This window comes from Homo sapiens, chromosome 8, assembly GCF_000001405.40.
Source record: "Homo sapiens chromosome 8, GRCh38.p14 Primary Assembly".
Taxonomy (NCBI): Eukaryota; Metazoa; Chordata; class Mammalia; order Primates; family Hominidae; genus Homo; species Homo sapiens.
The window spans coordinates 17,629,630-17,646,970 of NC_000008.11; the positions used below are offsets into that span (position 1 = coordinate 17,629,630).

The 17,341-nt window shown below is 43.2% G+C and overlaps 2 protein-coding genes across 15 annotated transcripts in view; one reads left to right on the plus strand and one right to left on the minus strand.

The window, feature by feature from the left end:
* The window catches only part of PDGFRL (platelet derived growth factor receptor like), a 66,712-nt gene extending 53,197 nt beyond the window's left edge, over nt 1-13,515 (plus strand). The window contains 2 exon segments of one of the 2 annotated variants that reach the window (NM_006207.2): nt 4,445-4,584; nt 12,984-13,504. In NM_006207.2, coding sequence (NP_006198.1) covers nt 4,445-4,584; nt 12,984-13,172 — 329 coding nt within the window. In that variant the 3' untranslated portion in view covers nt 13,173-13,504. 2 annotated transcript variants of the gene reach the window in all.
* The window catches only part of MTUS1 (microtubule associated scaffold protein 1), a 157,720-nt gene continuing 154,551 nt past the window's right edge, over nt 14,173-17,341 (minus strand). For 11 of the 13 annotated variants that reach the window (NR_156437.2, NM_001363061.2, NM_001363062.2 and 8 more), the window contains one exon: nt 14,173-16,510. Coding sequence is in view for 12 of the 13 variants with exons in the window: in NM_001363061.2 (NP_001349990.1) it covers nt 16,297-16,510 (214 nt within the window). In the remaining variant the exon portion in view is untranslated. The remainder of the gene's footprint in view (nt 16,511-17,341) is intronic. The other 2 variants (NM_001363060.2, NM_001363057.2) reach the window with 1 other exon arrangement.

Genomic DNA, 17,341 nt, shown 5'->3' on the forward strand with positions numbered 1-17,341 from the left:
GTTCATGGCCCTGCTTGTCACTCCATTTTTAGGGTGACTTTGATATCGACTTGGTACCCACTGGCCAGGTTCATGGACCCCTCATCCGTTCCACCTCAGATATTCCCACCCTCATCACAATGTGAACATGTCAACCACAACCACTGTGACAGCAACCACCGGGGCTGACCCCAGCTCCAGTGACACAGGCTTGTACTTTCCCAGGATTCTGTGTTCAATGACTCCCTCAGCCACAGTCCTCACCTGCACCCACCCTGTTCTTGAGGGCTTTCTGCCCTCCCCACCCATGAGGCTTAGATCCTGGGTCCCACCACATCAGTACTCACTACCCACACCCGGCACGCCCTCCTCTCTGTACTCCCCTCTCCTGTCCAGGAAAGAACCACCCCGGATGAACACAACTAACCTTCTCCCCATGCCTGTACTCAGAGAGTTAAGAGCTGTTGGGACACTCCCATGGGAGGGTAGAGGGCATGGCCATGAATCCCCCATCTCTCGTCTACCCTGCCTGGTGTCCTCTGCATTTTGTCCCGTCTTTCTTCTGTTTTCCCCAATGTGCACAGAACACTTGGAGTTCTCAAATTCCCGCCTCATTCTCTTCCAGTTGGCCTTACTCCCTTACTCTTGACAGAACTGAAACATGATCAGTCTCTCAATTAAAATTGGAACTACTTCTTTCAATGTGGCCATTTTAGTGAGGAGTTTCATTTCATAGCATTTATACATGAAATACTTTTTTCCCTGGTAACTGCCATCCGTTCCATTGTGTTGAATCCCCCTTTTCCTGAGGGTAGGGAGATCTGTTGGTCATGTCGAGTTTCCCTTTGATATCCAACAGGCTTGCTGGGTGAGTAAGACAGCCTCATTCTGGTTTCTAAGACTGTTTGTTTAAAATCTTCAGTCCCAACAATTCATCCAAGCCTGCTTTCTGCTCTTCCTGTCACATGCAGGCTCCATGGTGAGTGCAGCAGCTCTGAGTCGGAGGCCACAGTTCCCTCCGCTCCCCTCCCCTCCCCTCCCCTCCCTGCTGGGGCACCAGGTTAGGGGAAGTAAGTGAGAGAGGTCAGAGGAAGTAAGTGAGAGCTGGCAGTCCCTGGTAATAAATGCTGACCTGGCTTGTTGTCTGTTAGCCTGATGGGAACAGATAGTGACTCCAGTGGTTTGTCACAGGTGATAGGGACTCACCTGTCACAAGCCCCCTTGGTGTCCTAGGCCCTGTCCCATGCAGCCTCGCCTTCTCCTGGACCCTCAGCTGGAGGCTGCCTCTGCTTGTATGAACTTCTTTGCTCTGAGCTGCAGCATGGCTGAAAGAGCCTGGAGTCCTGACATCTCTGTGTCTACCTGATCACCTGACTCCAGAGCACGTGGCCACCAGAACATACAGTGGAGACACAGTCTGGGCCCTCTTTACTTCTCGAAGTCCCCCACCCTGCCATCTTGTCCAGAGCTCTTTTGCCCCGGGCTGATGGCATAGGGGCAGGCTAGGAGCAGTTGCGTTGCAGAACGCTGCAACACCCCCCACATTCCTTGGCAAGCAGTTCTCTGAGGCCGCTCCCTCGCCTTTCTGGAGTGAAGCACCCTCTTGCCAGCCTTGCAAGGGAGGAGGGGAAATAGTTTCTCTTCTGGCACTGTAGTCCCTCAAAGGTGACTTTAGTCTCTCCGAGAACTCTCACCTTGACCAGGGGAGAGTGGTACGTGTGGGCAGAGTCCATCCCCTGCAGTGGAGCTTCTCAGCCACCCTGTCGGGGGGATCAGTAGCCCCGAGAGTGAGCTGCTCTCTGAAGTTAGAATTTGGGTTCTGTCATGCCTCGTGTTCTCAGCCATGGTGCTTATTCAGCAGGCCATGCCCCTTACACCCTGTTACCAAATCCCTCTCACAGCCCTGCTCCACCTCCCCCAGTGTTTTGCTGAGCCCACCACTCTTCCCCACTAGAACCAAGTCCCTGAATGAAAGAGCTCTCCATGTCCCTCTCCACTTCCTTTCCTCCCACACACTCCTTTGCCCACTCCCATCTGGCCTTCTCCCTTGACTTCCACCAAAACGGCTATTGCCAAGGTACTCGGGGACCCCCATGCCATTAAAGTCTGTCCCTGTCCTCCTGGATTCCACCTCACCTGCAGGGAACAGCCTCTGCCCTGGCTCCATTTTTCCCAGCTTCCCCCACCTCCCCCACAGCTTTCTCACTCTTCTTGGTCAGCTCTTAGCCTTCTATCAACTTTGAAATGCTGGTGCTCCCCCAGGCACCCTTCTTTCCCACTCCTTGTTCTGTCCCTGGGCCAGCTTCACATCTGTACACTGGTAACTCCCAAGTGAACGGAAGTGGCCGGATCTAGGAGCATCAGGTCCACGTGTCCGCCGTCCACCTCAGGTGTGCAATGAGATGCTTCGGGGTCCTCCATCCTCCGCGTGCCATCCCTGGCCTCAGTGCCATCCTCCCTGGACCTGGTTCTTCCTCCTCCTCTGCCTTGGTGATGGCACTACCTTCACCCACGGGTCAGGCCTGCGGCTGGAAGCCAAGCTAACCTCCCTCCTCCTCCCGATCCTTTCTACTTTTTTCATTAAATCACTTTCAAATCCTACTGTTTCTCTCCATCCTCACTGCAAAAAAGGGATCAAGCTAGCATTGTCTCTGCCCTAGACTTATGTGAATACCTTCTCATTTCCCCTATGTCCACCTTTTCTTTCTCCACTCCATTTTCCACACTGTAGCTGATTTTTTTTTTTTTTAATACAGAGTCTTGGCTCTGTTGCCCAGGCTGGAGTGCAGTGGTGTGATCTCGGCTCACTGCAACCTCCACCTCCTGGGCTCGAGGGATTCTCCTGTCTCAGGCTCAGTATCTGGGATTACAGGCATGCGCCACCATGCCCAGCTAATTTTGTACTTTTAGTAGAGATGGGGTTTTACCATGTTGGCCAGGCTGGCCTCGAACTCCTGACCTCAGGTGATCTGCCCACCTCAGCCTCCCAAAGTGCTGGGATTACAGGAGTGAGCCACTGTGCCCGTTCCCTGATTTTAATTAAACCAATCAGTAGGTTCCCACTTCTCCCAGAAACAAAGTCCAAATCCTTTGCGTGGCCTGAATGGCCTCACATGGACTCACCTCTGTCCTCCTCCCCATCCAGGTCTCACTCCTCCCTCCCCTCCTCTCCCCAGCCCTCCTCCACTCCGCCACTGCCTCTCACCCAGGGCCATGAACATGGGCATTCCCAGCCTGCTGGTGTCTCCCTGCTTCTCCTGTTCCTGTCTCTGAAGCTCGGCCTTGAGATTTTAGTTCAAACAGCGCTTCCTCAAGGAAGCCCTTCCTGGCTCTCAGACTGTTCTATTCTGGCCTTTTGGAGTACTCTGGGCTTCTGCTTCATAGCTTTTAACACAGCATTTTAAATTAACCATACGATGACTCACTCAGTGTCCCGCCCCTTTGCTAGAATACAGATTCCAAGGGCTCAGAGATCAGGTCCATCACCCTCCCTGCTCTAGGCCCACCTGCTAGCACATAGCATTTCTCAAGGCTGCCATCAAAATTGCTCATTAACACACCTGTAATCCCAGCACTATGGGAGGTCAAGGCATGAGAATTGCTTGAGGCCATGAGTTGCAGATCAGCTTGGGCAACATAGACCAAAAAAACTGAAAAACTAGCCAGGTGCAGTGGCTCATACCTTAATCCTAGCTACTCAGAAGGCACAGGTGGGAGGATGGCTTGAGCTTTCCTCCAGGATGCAGGAGTTTGAGGCTGCAGAGAGTTAAGATTGCACCACTGTTGGCAGGCGCCTGTAGTCCCAGCTACTCTGGAGGCTGAGGCAGGAGAATGGTGTGAACCCGGGAGGCAGAACTTGCAGTGAGCCGAGATCGCGCAGCTGCACTCCAGCCTGGGTGACAGAGACCCCATTTCTAAATAAATAGACAGCTTGTTGAGTGAATTCCCCATAATGAAGAAATTTGTTTCTGAAACATGATGAGGCAAAGGCACTGCAGACCCAGGTAGCACTCATGCCCAAACATCTTTCACATCTGTACATTTAGATTTTCTGTTCGTCTTCTGCGGATGGTCAGCCACACACCTATCTGCTCCCTGCCACCCCTGTGGACACCACCACCCAGTACTTCCTCCCTGCTTCTTCCCTAGGGACTTCTTCCCCCTCACCTCTTCATTCTCTTCACATGACCACTGATGGACCTCTGAGCTTCCTCTCCTAATCACAGTCTTGGAGGCTGTCCTGGGAGTCCTGGTGCCTACCCCATTCCAGACCACCAAGGTCAACAGATAAAGGTGGCTTCAAAGGAAGCCCCAAGTTGTGGGCTCACACTGTCCTCGCACTGGTCAGGGAGCTGTGAGAAAGGCAGAAAATTCCATCTCTCTCCATGGAAAAGAATGCATCTGTAGGTTTGTTTTCAAGGTTACACTCGGGGTCTCACTCTGCCTGTTTCGTGCTTGCTTCCAGTTCCCAGTGGCCCTCCCTCAACAACCATCTTGGCTTCTTCAAACAAAGTGAAAAGTGGGGACGACATCAGTGTGCTCTGCACTGTCCTGGGGGAGCCCGATGTGGAGGTGGAGTTCACCTGGATCTTCCCAGGGCAGAAGGTAAGTGTTGTACCTGCATCTCAGCCCCTGCGTCTCAGCCTCTGCATCTCAGCCAGCCATTTTAATTCACAGCTTCGTCCCCACCCAGTGCTATATGCCATAACTTCAGAAGTGCAAGAAACATGTGGGGCTATGTTGGGGGCCAGGTATTGTTTGTTTTTTTTGAAGATGTTTCGGTATATTTAAAAATGAATTTCTTTTAAGGACAGGAAATAAGAGATTGAGTTTCATTAGTCAGTTTGCTCAATGTACCCTCTTCATATGCAGGTTTTTTTTTTTTTAAACCCTTAAGTAAGAAAGGACAGTAATGCTCATTGCAGCGCCATTCACAATACCAAAGACATGGAATCAACCTAAATGCCCTTCAATGGTAGACTGGATAAAGAAAACATAGTACATATACACCAAAGAATACTATGCAGCCATGAAAAAGAATGAGATCATGTCCTTTGCAGGAACACAAATGGAGCTGGAGGCCATTATCCTTAGCAAACTAACACAGAAACAGAAAACCAAATACCTCATGTTCTCACTTTTAAGTGGGAGCTAAATGATTAGACTACATGGACATATAGAGGGGAACACACACTGGGGCCTACCTGGGGGTGGAGGGTGGGAGGAGGGAGAAGATCGGGCAAAATAACTAATGGGTACTAGGCTGAATATTAATACCTGGGTGAGGAAATGATCTGTCATTTCATGACACGAGTTTACCTATATAACAGACTTGCACATATACCCCTGAACCTAAAATAAAAGGTTTTTTTTTAAAAAAAAGGACATTGGGAGGAAAGGGAAATGAAGGATCTCCCTCTTTCCTCCTGCCCCCACCTCAGTCTTTCAATCCCATCTTCTGGGCCAACTAGAGTCTAATCTAACCTCCTCCTGGGGTCCTTCAGAGTGTTCTCTTTGTTTTTAATATATTTTGTCATTTTTGATTTCAATCGGTTTTTAAGAACAGTAGGTGTGTGTTACGTGAATAAGTTCCTTAGATGATTTCTGAGATTTCGGTGTATCCATCACTTGAGCAGTGTACACTATACCCAATGTATAGGCTTTTATCTCTCACCCCTCCCCCCAACCCTTTCCCCTGAATCCCCAAAGTTCATTGTGTCATTCTTATGTCTGCATCCTCATAGCTTAGCTCGCATTTAACAGTAAGAACATACCATGTTTGGTTTTCCATTTGTGAATTACTTCAATTAGAATAATGGTCTCCATCCAGGTTGCTGCAAATGCCATTATTTAATTCCTTTTTATGGCTGAGTAGTATTCCATGGTATATATACTACATTTCTTTATCCACTCATTGATTGATGGGCATTTGAGCTGGTTCCATATTTTTGCACTTGTGAATTGTACTGCTGTAAACATGTGTTCAAATATCTTTTTCATATTATGACTTCTTTTCCTCTGGGTAGATACCCAGTAATGGGATTGCTGGATCAAATGGTGGTTCTACTTTTAGTTCTTTAAGGAATCTCCACAGTTTTCCATAGTGGTTGTACTAGTTTACATTCCCACCAGCAGTGTAACAGTGTTGCCTTTTCACCACATCCATGCCAACATCGATTATTTTTTAATTTTTAAATTATGGCCATTCTTGCAGGAGTAAGGTGGTATCACATTGTGGTTTTGATTTGCATTTCCCTAATCATTAGTGATGTTGAGTACGTTTTCATATGTTTGTTGGACTTTGGTATGTCTTTTGAGAATTGTCTATTCATGTCCTAAGCCCAATTTTTGATGGGATTGTTATTTTCTTGCTGATTTGTTTGAGTTCCTTGTAGATTCTGGGTGTTAGTCCTTTTTCAGATGTATGGATTGCAAAAATTTTCTCCCACTCTGTGGGTTGTGTGTTTATTCTACTGATTATTTCTTTTGCTGTGCAGAAGTTTTTTAGTTTAATTAAGCCCGATCTATCTTTGTTTTTGTTGCATTTGCTTTTTGGTTCTTGGTCATGAACTCTTTGCCTAAGCCAATGTCTAGAAAGGTTTTTCCACTGTTATCTTCTAGAATTTTTATGGTTTCAGGTCTTAGATTTAAGTATTTGATCCACCTTGAGTTGATTTTTGTATAAGGTGAAAGATAAGGATTCAGTCTTATTCATCATCTACATTTGGCTTGCCAATTATCCCAGCACCATTTGGTGAATAGGGTGTCCTTTCCCCATTTTATGCTTTTGTTTGCTTTGTCAAAGATCAGTGTAAGTATTTGGGTTTATTTCTGGGTTCTCTATTCTGTTCCACTGGTCTATGTGCTATTTTTATACCAGTACCATGCTGTTTTGGTGACTATGGCCTTATAGTATAGTTTGAAGTCAGGTAATGGGATGCCTCTAGATTTGTTTTTTTTTTTTGCTTAGTCTTGTTTTGGCTCTGCAGATTCTTTTTTGGTTCCACATGAATTTTAGGATTGTTTTTTCTAGTTCTGTGAAGAATGATGGTGGTGTTTTGGTGGGAATTGCATTGAATCTGTGGATTGCTTTTCGCAGTATGGTCATTTTCACAATATTGATTCTACCCATCCATGAGCATGCGATGTGTTTCCATTTGTTTGTGTCATCTATGATTTCTTTCAGCAGTGTTTTGTAGTTTTCCTTGCAGAGGTCTTTCACCTCCTTGATTAGGTATATTTCTGAGTATATATATTTTTTGCAGCTATTATAAAAGGGGTTGAGTTATTGATTTGATTCTCAGCTTGGTTGCTGTTGGTTTATAGCAGAGCTACTGATTTGTTTACATTAATTTTGTATCCTGAAACTTTGCTAAATTCATCTATCAGTTCTAGCAGCTTTTTGGAGGAGTCTTTAGGGTTTTCTAGGTATATGATTACATCATCAGCAAACAGCGACAGTTTGACTTCGCTTTATTGATTTGGATGCCCTTTATTTCTTTCTCTTGTCTGATTGCTCTGGCGAGGACTTCCAGTACTATGTTGAATGCAAGTGGGCATCCTTGTCTTGTTGCAGTTCTCAGGGGAAATGCTTTCAACTTTTTCCCATTCAGTATAGACAGTTTTCATTACCTTAAGGTATGTCCCTTCTATGCCAATTTTGCTGAGGGTTTTAATCATAAAGGGATGCTGGATTTTGTCAAATGTTTTTTGTGTGTCTGTTGAGATGATCATGTGATTTTTTGTTTTTAATTCTATGTGGTGTATCCCATTAATGTCTTGTGTATGTTAAACCACCCCAGTATGAAACCCATTTGATCATGGTGGACTATCTATTTGATATGCTGTTGGATTTGGTTAGCTAGTATTTTGTTAAGGATTTTTGCATCTATATTCATCAAACATGTTGGTCTATAGTTTTCTCTTTTTTGTTATGTCCTTTCCTGGTTTTGGTATTAGGGTGATACTGGCTTCACAGAATGATTTAGGGAGGATTCCTTCTTTCTCTGTCTTGTGAAATAATGTTGATAGGATTGATACCAGTTCTTAGAATGTCTGATAGAATTCATTTGTGAATCCATCTGATTCTGGGCTTATTTTTGTTGGCAGTTTTTTAAATTACCATTTCAATCTCACTGCTTGTTATTGGTCTGTTCAGAGTTTCTCTTTCTTCCTGGTTTAATCTAGGAGGGTGGTATAATTCCAGGAATTTATCCATCTCTTCTAGGTTTTCTAGCTTGAGTATGTAAAGCTGTTCACAGTAGCCTTGAATTATCTTTTGTATTTCTGTGGTATTGGTTGTAATATCTTGTTTCATTTCTAACTGAAGCTTATTTGGATCTTCTTGGTTAATTTTGTTAATAGTCTATCAGTTTTATTTATCTTTTCAAAGAATCAGCTTTTTGTTTATCTTTTGTATTTTTTTGGTTCAATTTCATTCAGTTCTGCTCAGATCTTTATTTCTTTTGTTCTGCTATGTTTGGGTTTGGTTTGTTCTGGTTTTTCCAGTCCTTGAGGTGTGACCTTAGATTGTCTATTTGTGCTCTTTCAGACTTTTTGATGTAGTCATTTAATGCTATGAACTTTCCTCTTAGCACTGCCTTTGCTGTATACCAGAGGTTTTGATAGGTTGTGCTACTATTTTCATTCAGTTCAAATAATTTTTTAACTTCCATCGTGATTTCATTCTTGACCCAGTGATCATTCAGGAGCAGGTTATTTAATTTCCATGTGTTTGTATGTTTTGAGGGTTGCTTTTGGAATTGAGTTCCAATTTTATTCCACCGTGGTCTGAGAGAGTACTTGATATAATTTCAGTTTTCTTAAATTTATTGAAACTTGTTTTGTGGCTTATGATATGGTCTCTCTTGGAGAATGTTCCATGTGCTGATGAATAGAATGTATATTCTGCAGTTGTTGGGTCGAATGTTCTACAAATAGCCCTTAAGTCCATTTGTTCTAGGTTATAGTTTAAATCCATTGTTTCTTTGTTGATGTTCTGTCTTGATTACCTATCTATTGCTGACAGTGGAGTATTGAAGTTCCCCACTATTACTGTGTTGCAGTCTATCTCATTTCTTAGGTGTAACAGTAATTGTTTTATAAATTTGGGAGCTCTGGCATTAGGTGCATATATATATATATATATATATATATATATATATATATATATATATATAATTGTGATATTTTCCTGTTGGGCAAGTCCTTTTATCATTACATAATGTCCGTCTTTCTCTTTTTTAACTGCTGTTTCTTTAACGTTTGTTCTGTCTGATATAAGAACAGCTACTCCTCTATAAGACAGGCCTGCACCTGTAATCCCAGCTACTAAGGAGGCTGAGGCACAAGAATCACTTGAACCTGGGAGGTGGAGGTTGCATTGAGCCAAGATTGAGCCATTGCACTCCAGTCTGGCCGACAGAGTGAGACTCTGTCTCAAACAAAACAAAACAAACAAAAAGAATAGCTACTCCTGCTCACTTTGGTGTCCCTTTGCATGGAATATCTTTTCCCAGCCCTTTACCATAAGTTTATGTTAGTCCTATTTGTTAGGTGAGTCTCTTCAAAACAGCAGATACTTGGTTGGTGACTTCTTACCCATTCTGCCATTCTGAATCTTTTAAATGGAGCATTTAGGCCATTTACATTCAACATTAGTATTCAGATGTGAGGTACTATTCTATTCATCTTGCTATTTGTTGCCCGAATACCTTGGTTTTTATTTATTTATTTATTTATTGTGTTTTTGTTTTATAGGTCCTATGAGATTTATGCTTTAAGAAGGTTCTATTTTGGTGTATTTCAAGGATTTGTTTCAATATTTAGTGCTCCTTTTAGCATTTCTTACAGTGCTGGGTTTGTAGTGGCGAATTTTCTCAGCATTTGTTTGTCTGAAAAAGACTGTATCTCTCCTTCATTTATGAAGCTTAGTTTTGCTGTACACAAAATTCTTAGATGATGATTCTTTTGTTTAAGGAGGCTGAAGGTAGGGCCTCAATTTCTTCTAGCTTGTAGGGTTTCTGCTGAGGAATCTGCTGTTAATCTGACATGTTTTCCTTTATAAGTTATCTGGTGCTTTTGCCTCACAGCTCTTAAGATTCTTTCCTTCATCTTCGCTTTAGATAACCTGATGACTCTGTGCCTAGGTGACGATCTTTTTGCAATGAATTTCTCAGGTGTTCTTTGAGCTTCTTGTATTCAGATGTGTAGCTCTCTAGCAAGGCCAGGGAAGTTTTCTTTGATTACTCCCTCAAATATGTCTTTCAAACTTTTAGATTTCTCCTCTTCCTCAGGAACACCAATTATTCTTAGGTTTGTTTGTTTAATATAATCCCAAACATCTTGGAGGCTTTGTTCATTCTTTTAAATTCTTTTTTGTTTGTCTTTGTTCGATTGGGTTAATCCAAAAATCTGATGTTCGAGTTCTGAAGTTCTTTCTTCTGGTTGTTCAGTTCTATTGCTAAGACTTTCCAATGTATTTTGCATTTCTCTAAGTGTGTTCTTCATTTCCAGAAATTATGATTGTTTTCTATTTTTGCTATCTATTTCACTGAAGATTTTTCCCTTCATATCCTGTATCTTTTTTGATTTAATTAAGTTGGAGTTCACCTTTCTCTGATGCCTCCTTGAGTAGCTTAATAACTGACCTTCTGAATTCTTTTTCTGGCAATTCAGGGATTTCTTTTTGGATTGGATAAATTGCTGGTGAGCTAGTGTGATCTTCTGGGGTGTTAAAGAAACTTGTTTTGAAATACTACCAGAATTGTTTTACTGGTTCCTTCTTATTTGGGTAGACTATGGTAGAGGGAAGATCTGGGGCTCAAGGGCTGCTCTTCATATTCTTTTGTCCCATGGGGTGCTCTCTTGATACAGTGCTCTCCCCCTTCCCCTATGTGTGTGGCTTCCTGAGAGCCAAACTGCAGTGATTGTTATTTCTCTTCTGTATCTAGCCACCCAGCAGAGTTACTGGGCTCTGGGCTGGTACTTAGTGGTGCCTGTACAGAGTCCTTTGATGTCTCAGGTCTCTCAGCCATGGATGCCAGCAGCTGCTCTAATGGAGGTGGCAGGGGAGTGAAATGGATGAACTCTGTGAGGGTCCTTAGTTGTAGTTTCGTTTATTGCACTAGTTTTGTGTTGGTCTTCTGCCAGGAGGTGGCACTTTAAAGACAGCATTAGCTGCAGTAGTATAGGGAGGATCAGGTGGTGGGCAGGACCCTAGAGCTCCCAAGAGATTATGTCCTTTGTCTTCGGCTACCAGGGTGGGTAGAAAAAGACCATTAGTTGGGGGTGGGCTAGGCGTGTCTGAGCTCAGACACTCTCCTTGGGCGGGTCTTGCTATGGCTGCTGTTGGGACTGGCGGTGTGGTTCTCAGGCCAATGGGGTTATGTTCCTCAGGGGATTATGGCTGCTCTGCTGTGTCATGCAGGTCACCAGGGAAGTGGGGGAAAGCCAGCAGTTACAGGCCTCACCCAGCTCCCACGTAGCCCAAAGGGCCGGTCTCACTCCCTCTGTCCCTGCCAACAGCACCGAGTTTGTTTCTAGGCAGTGGATGAGCAGGGTTGAGAACTTGTCCCAGGCTACCAGCCTCTTGGATAAGAAAGCAAACAGGGTTTTCAGATTTCACATCTCCTACCTGCCACGGTTTCTGTGCTGTGTCTGCACTCCTGCTTCACCCCCTCACCCGAGTTCTGTCCAGGAAACTGTGTTTGGTCAAAATTGTTACAAAGTTCAGCTAGAAGTTTCCTTCTCCCTGTGGTCTTTTCCCAGTTTCTCTGGTAGCCCTCTCCAGGGATCTCTGTGAGACAAAGTCAGAAATGGCTTCCTTGGGGACTGAGAGAGCCCATAGGGCTCTTTCTGCTGCTCCTTTCTATTCCTGTGTTTCACTTGGCTAGAGTGTTCTCTATACAAGCTGTGCCCATGGCAAGCTGCTGTGAGCAGACATCCACCAAGTGGACATAGACCACGCCAAAAAGGTGCTGTGAGGCCAGAGATAATTTTAAAGTAGACTTCTCATAAAAGCAATTGCAGCGTATTTAGCCCTTGTGCATGTTCTGCTTGCTAAAATAACAGCTCTGCTCCCAGCACGGAATAATCCCTTTGTTGCCAGAAGAGATTTGGCCTCCACAAGACACATTAAGTAGCTGACATCCTTCTGGCCTATGGGCTGTGATTGGTAGAAAATAACTGTCTCTGGGGAATAGTGTTTTCCGGCATCCTGGTACCAGGCACTTGATTATCAAACGTGTTGGTCATACTTACAGGACATTGATGATTTTCAATAGAGGTCCCCGCCACATTGCTATTTGGTATTTTATGAGAAAAGGTATTCACTTAGTGATATATTAGTTCTGTTACATGAATTCAGAAAATACTATGTTCTTATCACTGGAGTTGGGTGGACATCTCAAAAGTGACCATCGCACTTTGTAGAAATAGGGGTCCTGTCATGTAGTACATTATCTTACCCATCCTTGGTACAACTTTTCTCCCACTAGAGTCCTAAGGCACACTGGCCTAATCATACTTCTCCCTCTCTCAAATCTGAGCAATTGGGAGCTCTTAGTCATTTATACAGTGGGTGCTTTTTCAGGCTACTGACTTTCAGTTCTGTAGGTAAGAACCACTTAGCTAGGAAAAGAAAGTGGGCAATGTGAAGAACGGGGCCAGTGGAAAATTTTGTCCCTGCTTATGCTTAATACCAGTTCCACTTCCTTGGAGTTCTAAAAGCATACATTTTAGATTAAGTAAAACCTTACAGAAGAAAAGGGCAGAAAGACAGTGCCAAACAACGTAATGAAATTCAAGGGCTGTTTGGAAAAAATGCAACCTAAAATGATTCCAGTGTAGAAGCTTCCACAGCTTATGAGCTACGCATACTAAACAGTCTTTTATAAGCATGTGCTTTGCTCTCTGAAAGGAACGCTCAACAGTGTTGGGTGAGTGGGAGCTCTTTATAGCAGCTTGTCCCTCTTGCTTCAGTCTTTGTGGGTGTCGTTAAACAGGATGAAAGGCCTGTGACGATCCAAGACACTTGGAGGTTGATCCACAGAGGACTGGGACACACCACGAGAATCTCCCAGAGTGTCATTACAGTGGAAGACTTTGAGACGATTGATGCAGGATATTACATTTGCACTGCTCAGAATCTTCAAGGACAGACCACAGTAGCTACCACTGTTGAGTTTTCCTGACTTGGAAAAGGAAATGTAATGAACTTATGGAAAGCCCATTTGTGTACACAGTCAGCTTTGGGGTTCCTTTTATTAGTGCTTTGCCAGAGGCTGATGTCAAGCACCACACCCCAACCCCAGCGTCTCGTGAGTCCGACCCAGACATCCAAACTAAAAGGAAGTCATCCAGTCTATTCACAGAAGTGTTAACTTTTCTAACAGAAAGCATGATTTTGATTGCTTACCTACATACGTGTTCCTAGTTTTTATACATGTGTAAACAATTTTATATAATCAATCATTTCTATTAAATGAGCACGTTTTTGTAAAAAATAAAAAGTGGGATAAGTGTTTTTTAAGTTAAGTTGACTTAAAATACATCCAGAAAGACTTGGTGGTGGTGATACGTGGGTCAATACCAAGTATTCTCTTTTATATCACCGCAATATATTAGAATTTTAAAATGTACTAGATACAGTTCAACTACTTACCCACAAGCAACAACTCCAGACTCAAATGCTTAGAAATGTCATTTTGTCTTAGTAGCAACTTTAACAAATGTGAGTTAATTTATGAAGGTACTGAAAAAATTCAAGGACACTTCATTTTTTTAAACTGCTGCACTCAAAGGTGTAATTGTAGATTAGTCTATTCAATAACTAGAACAAGTTTTTAGAAGTTTAGCTTTCAATATGAAATAGATGCATAGATTAAGAACATTCAACTTTGTTTAGACATTTTTTACGATATTCAAAAATATTTACCAAGTTTGTCCAATTTTCTTATACAGCAGAAATTGTTACAGCCAGCCAAAATTTATTTGTCAAACATAGATAGCTTTGAATTTAGAGAAGAAGAGCTTACCTCTCACTCTAGCTCTGTGAGCCCATGACCAACTCTGCGGTTGCAGTGGAAATTCCTGGGAAATATAAACTAAGAGGAGATACGACCTTTACTGTGCTGTCACAGGGCTGTAAAAATGAAGAATTTGAAGAATGAAGTAGGTCAGAGGATGCAATTCTTGAGTATTCCAGCATTATTTATTTGATCAGAGTAAAATACACTTCCCATCACTACAAACTGAGCACAACTACAGTTGTCTACACATTCATATTTTTGACGTGCCAACATTTTGCATTCTACATGAAACATTTGGTTTAAACAAAATCTTAAGAATTCTCTATTTTGTTTCCCATCTTCCCTCCTGTTCTCTCCCATCCTCCAAAGATGTTTTATATTAACTGCTATGAGATTTATTTGCCGGTCACGTAATACGGAGGACAGCAGGGAACAACACAAGATTTACCATGCCTAGGGGATGAATGGCAAACCCAACTTTGGCTAATGTCATTGAGAACAACTTGGAAGCGTGAGCAGAGATATCTCATGAAGTGGCAGTGAACCTACATTTCCATTTATCAGAAGCAAACATGGAAGGTTACATACATGATGAAGTATTGGAAGTTAAAGACTTAAGACACAAAATCACTAATTTAAAAGAACATGCAACATGAGTATCAACTTGCTATGTAGTGTACATGTAAATGACCCAAATATTCACCTCTAGCATCCTGAATCTCTTCTTACTACAGCTGTTATTTGTACAGCCACTGAATGTAGATTAGTAAATACTGACATCACAATGTTGACACATGCAGGGAGGGGGAGATAAAGCAACAGTTCTTCCTTCCACCTTTTCCAAAGTCTCAGGATTAGGGGAGGTAATAAGTTTTGGAAAGAAACTGAAATGCAACCTGGAGGAGAGTTGGACAAGCCACATTTTCCACTCATGGGAAAGAAGCGGACCATTCTGCTACTTTCCCAAAGACAAAGGGACTCCTTAAAGGGTAACTGAAAAATGAGCGCTATCCTCCCAGACTGTTTTCTTCTATCAAGTACTGCATCATCGGTAAGCACTGAATCCTACCTTTCTTAATTATACTAGCCAATGACTTCCTTGTTCTCGTTCTTTATTCTAAGATTTCCCAAAATTTGTAATATCAAATCCAGGCTTTAGTTTATTTGGAAAGTGGTTTCAGCACCTGGAAGATGAGCTGGCTCTGGGGCTCTGGAAAATCATATTCCTTTATCCTTGTCCCAGAGAAAAGTAGGTAGGAGGTAGAAGGTTTGCTTTTGTGGCTCTGGATGGTGGAGAAAGGTAAAAGGAAAATGAGAATAATGGGAGGGAAGAAGACAGGTTAAATCTGCAAGGGTAGATCAAAGGTAAAAATAAGGTGGAAAAACCCATTGGTACTTCCCTTTTTCTTTCTTTACACAGTTAGTTAGTTAGTTTGTTTTTTTATAGAAAAATTAGGGTTCTACATTTACACATAGCCTGAGAAAATGAATTACAGGATAGTGTTAGGCTCACATGGGTAAGTAAAAAATCTACAGAAAAATCTAGTTTCAACTGACATGGCTGAACACTGAAAAACTGCCAAGAAGTTACCCCCAAAAGATACAGAGAATGTATAGACAGGGACAAGTCAAAGCTCTTCCTGTTATACCCTCTCCCTACCCTGTTACAGGGCTGAGCAGAGTTGGTGGTAGATGATCATAATTCAAGCAACTATTGCTTTTTCTTCTATGGCTTTGGCTGAAATGTATATGCTGATTGATTGATTATTATTTGATTAGTACATATCCAGATATATTCAGATTTTGACATTTAATACACAGCAGAGGAGGCTGCATCAGACACATGACACTCTGTGACATCCATTTCATTCACACCCCCCACCCCCACAGTCAGACTGAAAACTCACAAGAAGGTGTCTGTGGTGAAGAACATTACAAAGGTTATAAATCTTAATAGGGCCCTGAGAGTTTTTCCCCCTATGCTTAGGTGAAAAAGGCAATGAACAAGATGCTCTCGTTCTTTAAGTGCTTTGTGCAACAACGTCCGTGTCGATGCCGAAATCTTTTTTTAAATCTTTTTTTGGAGGAATCTTTTGGACGGAGGCAAAAGTCTTCCTCCAGAGTTCCAGTCTCAGAAGCTGCGATTCCGCCGGTGGTGACGCTCCAGTTACCCTACGGTGATCACACGTGTGCTGATATACCTCTTGTGCCCACGTTCCTCCTTGGGGTCAGTCCTGCAGACCTGCATCAAAATGCTTTCAGAGAGTCTGTGGACTTTGGGGAGGTGTCATCTGGGTGAAATGCTGGGGCTAGGGAAGGAGCCCGAATTCCTTGGTGACTGCAAAGGGATGGCGGAGGATGTGGGGGATCTCTTGGGGCTACACAGGTCCCCATTGTGCAGTTTCCACAGAAGCTCCTCGTTTTCCATAGAGAGTCGCTTGTTGACTTTCGACTCCTTCTCCAGCGACTCTTGCAGAACAGCCTGCTCCGTGGAAAGCTGCCTTGAAGAAAAAGGCCAGAAACCATGAGATCTATGTAAAAAAAAAAAAAACTTGAAAAATTTTTCTTAGCGTTTGAAACTTTAAAGTCCAAAATTATTCCTTTGGGATAAAACAGAATCCTGCACAAGGTCACAGGTATTTGGCTGGCTAAGAAAACCCAAACACAGGCCGGGCGTGGTGGCTCAAGCTCATAATCCTGGCACCTTGGGAGGCCAAGGTGGGTGGATAACTTGAGGCCAGGAGTTCAAGATCAACTTGGGCAACATGGCGAAACTCTGTCTCTATTAAAAATACAAAAATTAGTCACGCATGGTGACATGTGCCTGTAGTCCCAGCTACTCAGGAGGCTGAGGTGGGAGGACTGCTCGAGCCTAGGAGGTGGAGGCTGCAGTAAGCTAAGATCACACCACTGTACTCCAGCCTGGGCAGAAGAGTGAGACCTCATCTCAAAAAAATATATAATAATAACTGTACTTTTTGGGCAATTTCATAGTAGGCTGAGAGCCACTTTTGCAAATATTCGACATGTTTTATGACTACCTTATGTTGCAGGCTGTTTTCTATTTGGTTTTGTGTTGCTCTTTGTCTGAAAGCATTCTCAGAGGCAGCCAGAGGCCGTGGGAGCAGGCTTGCTGGCCTGGGTCTCAGTGTACAGTTTTCAGGCCGCTTTGGTAAAAGCATGAACTACTACAATCATATTTTCCACAGAGAAATCAATGCCCTTTTAACCATCTGCTTCCATCATATTTCCAGGAGGTGCAGGGGTAGAGCGTGTCCAGAAAGTACACTGGATGTCCAAGGGAGCGGGGAGCTCGGGAGAAACAGCACTGT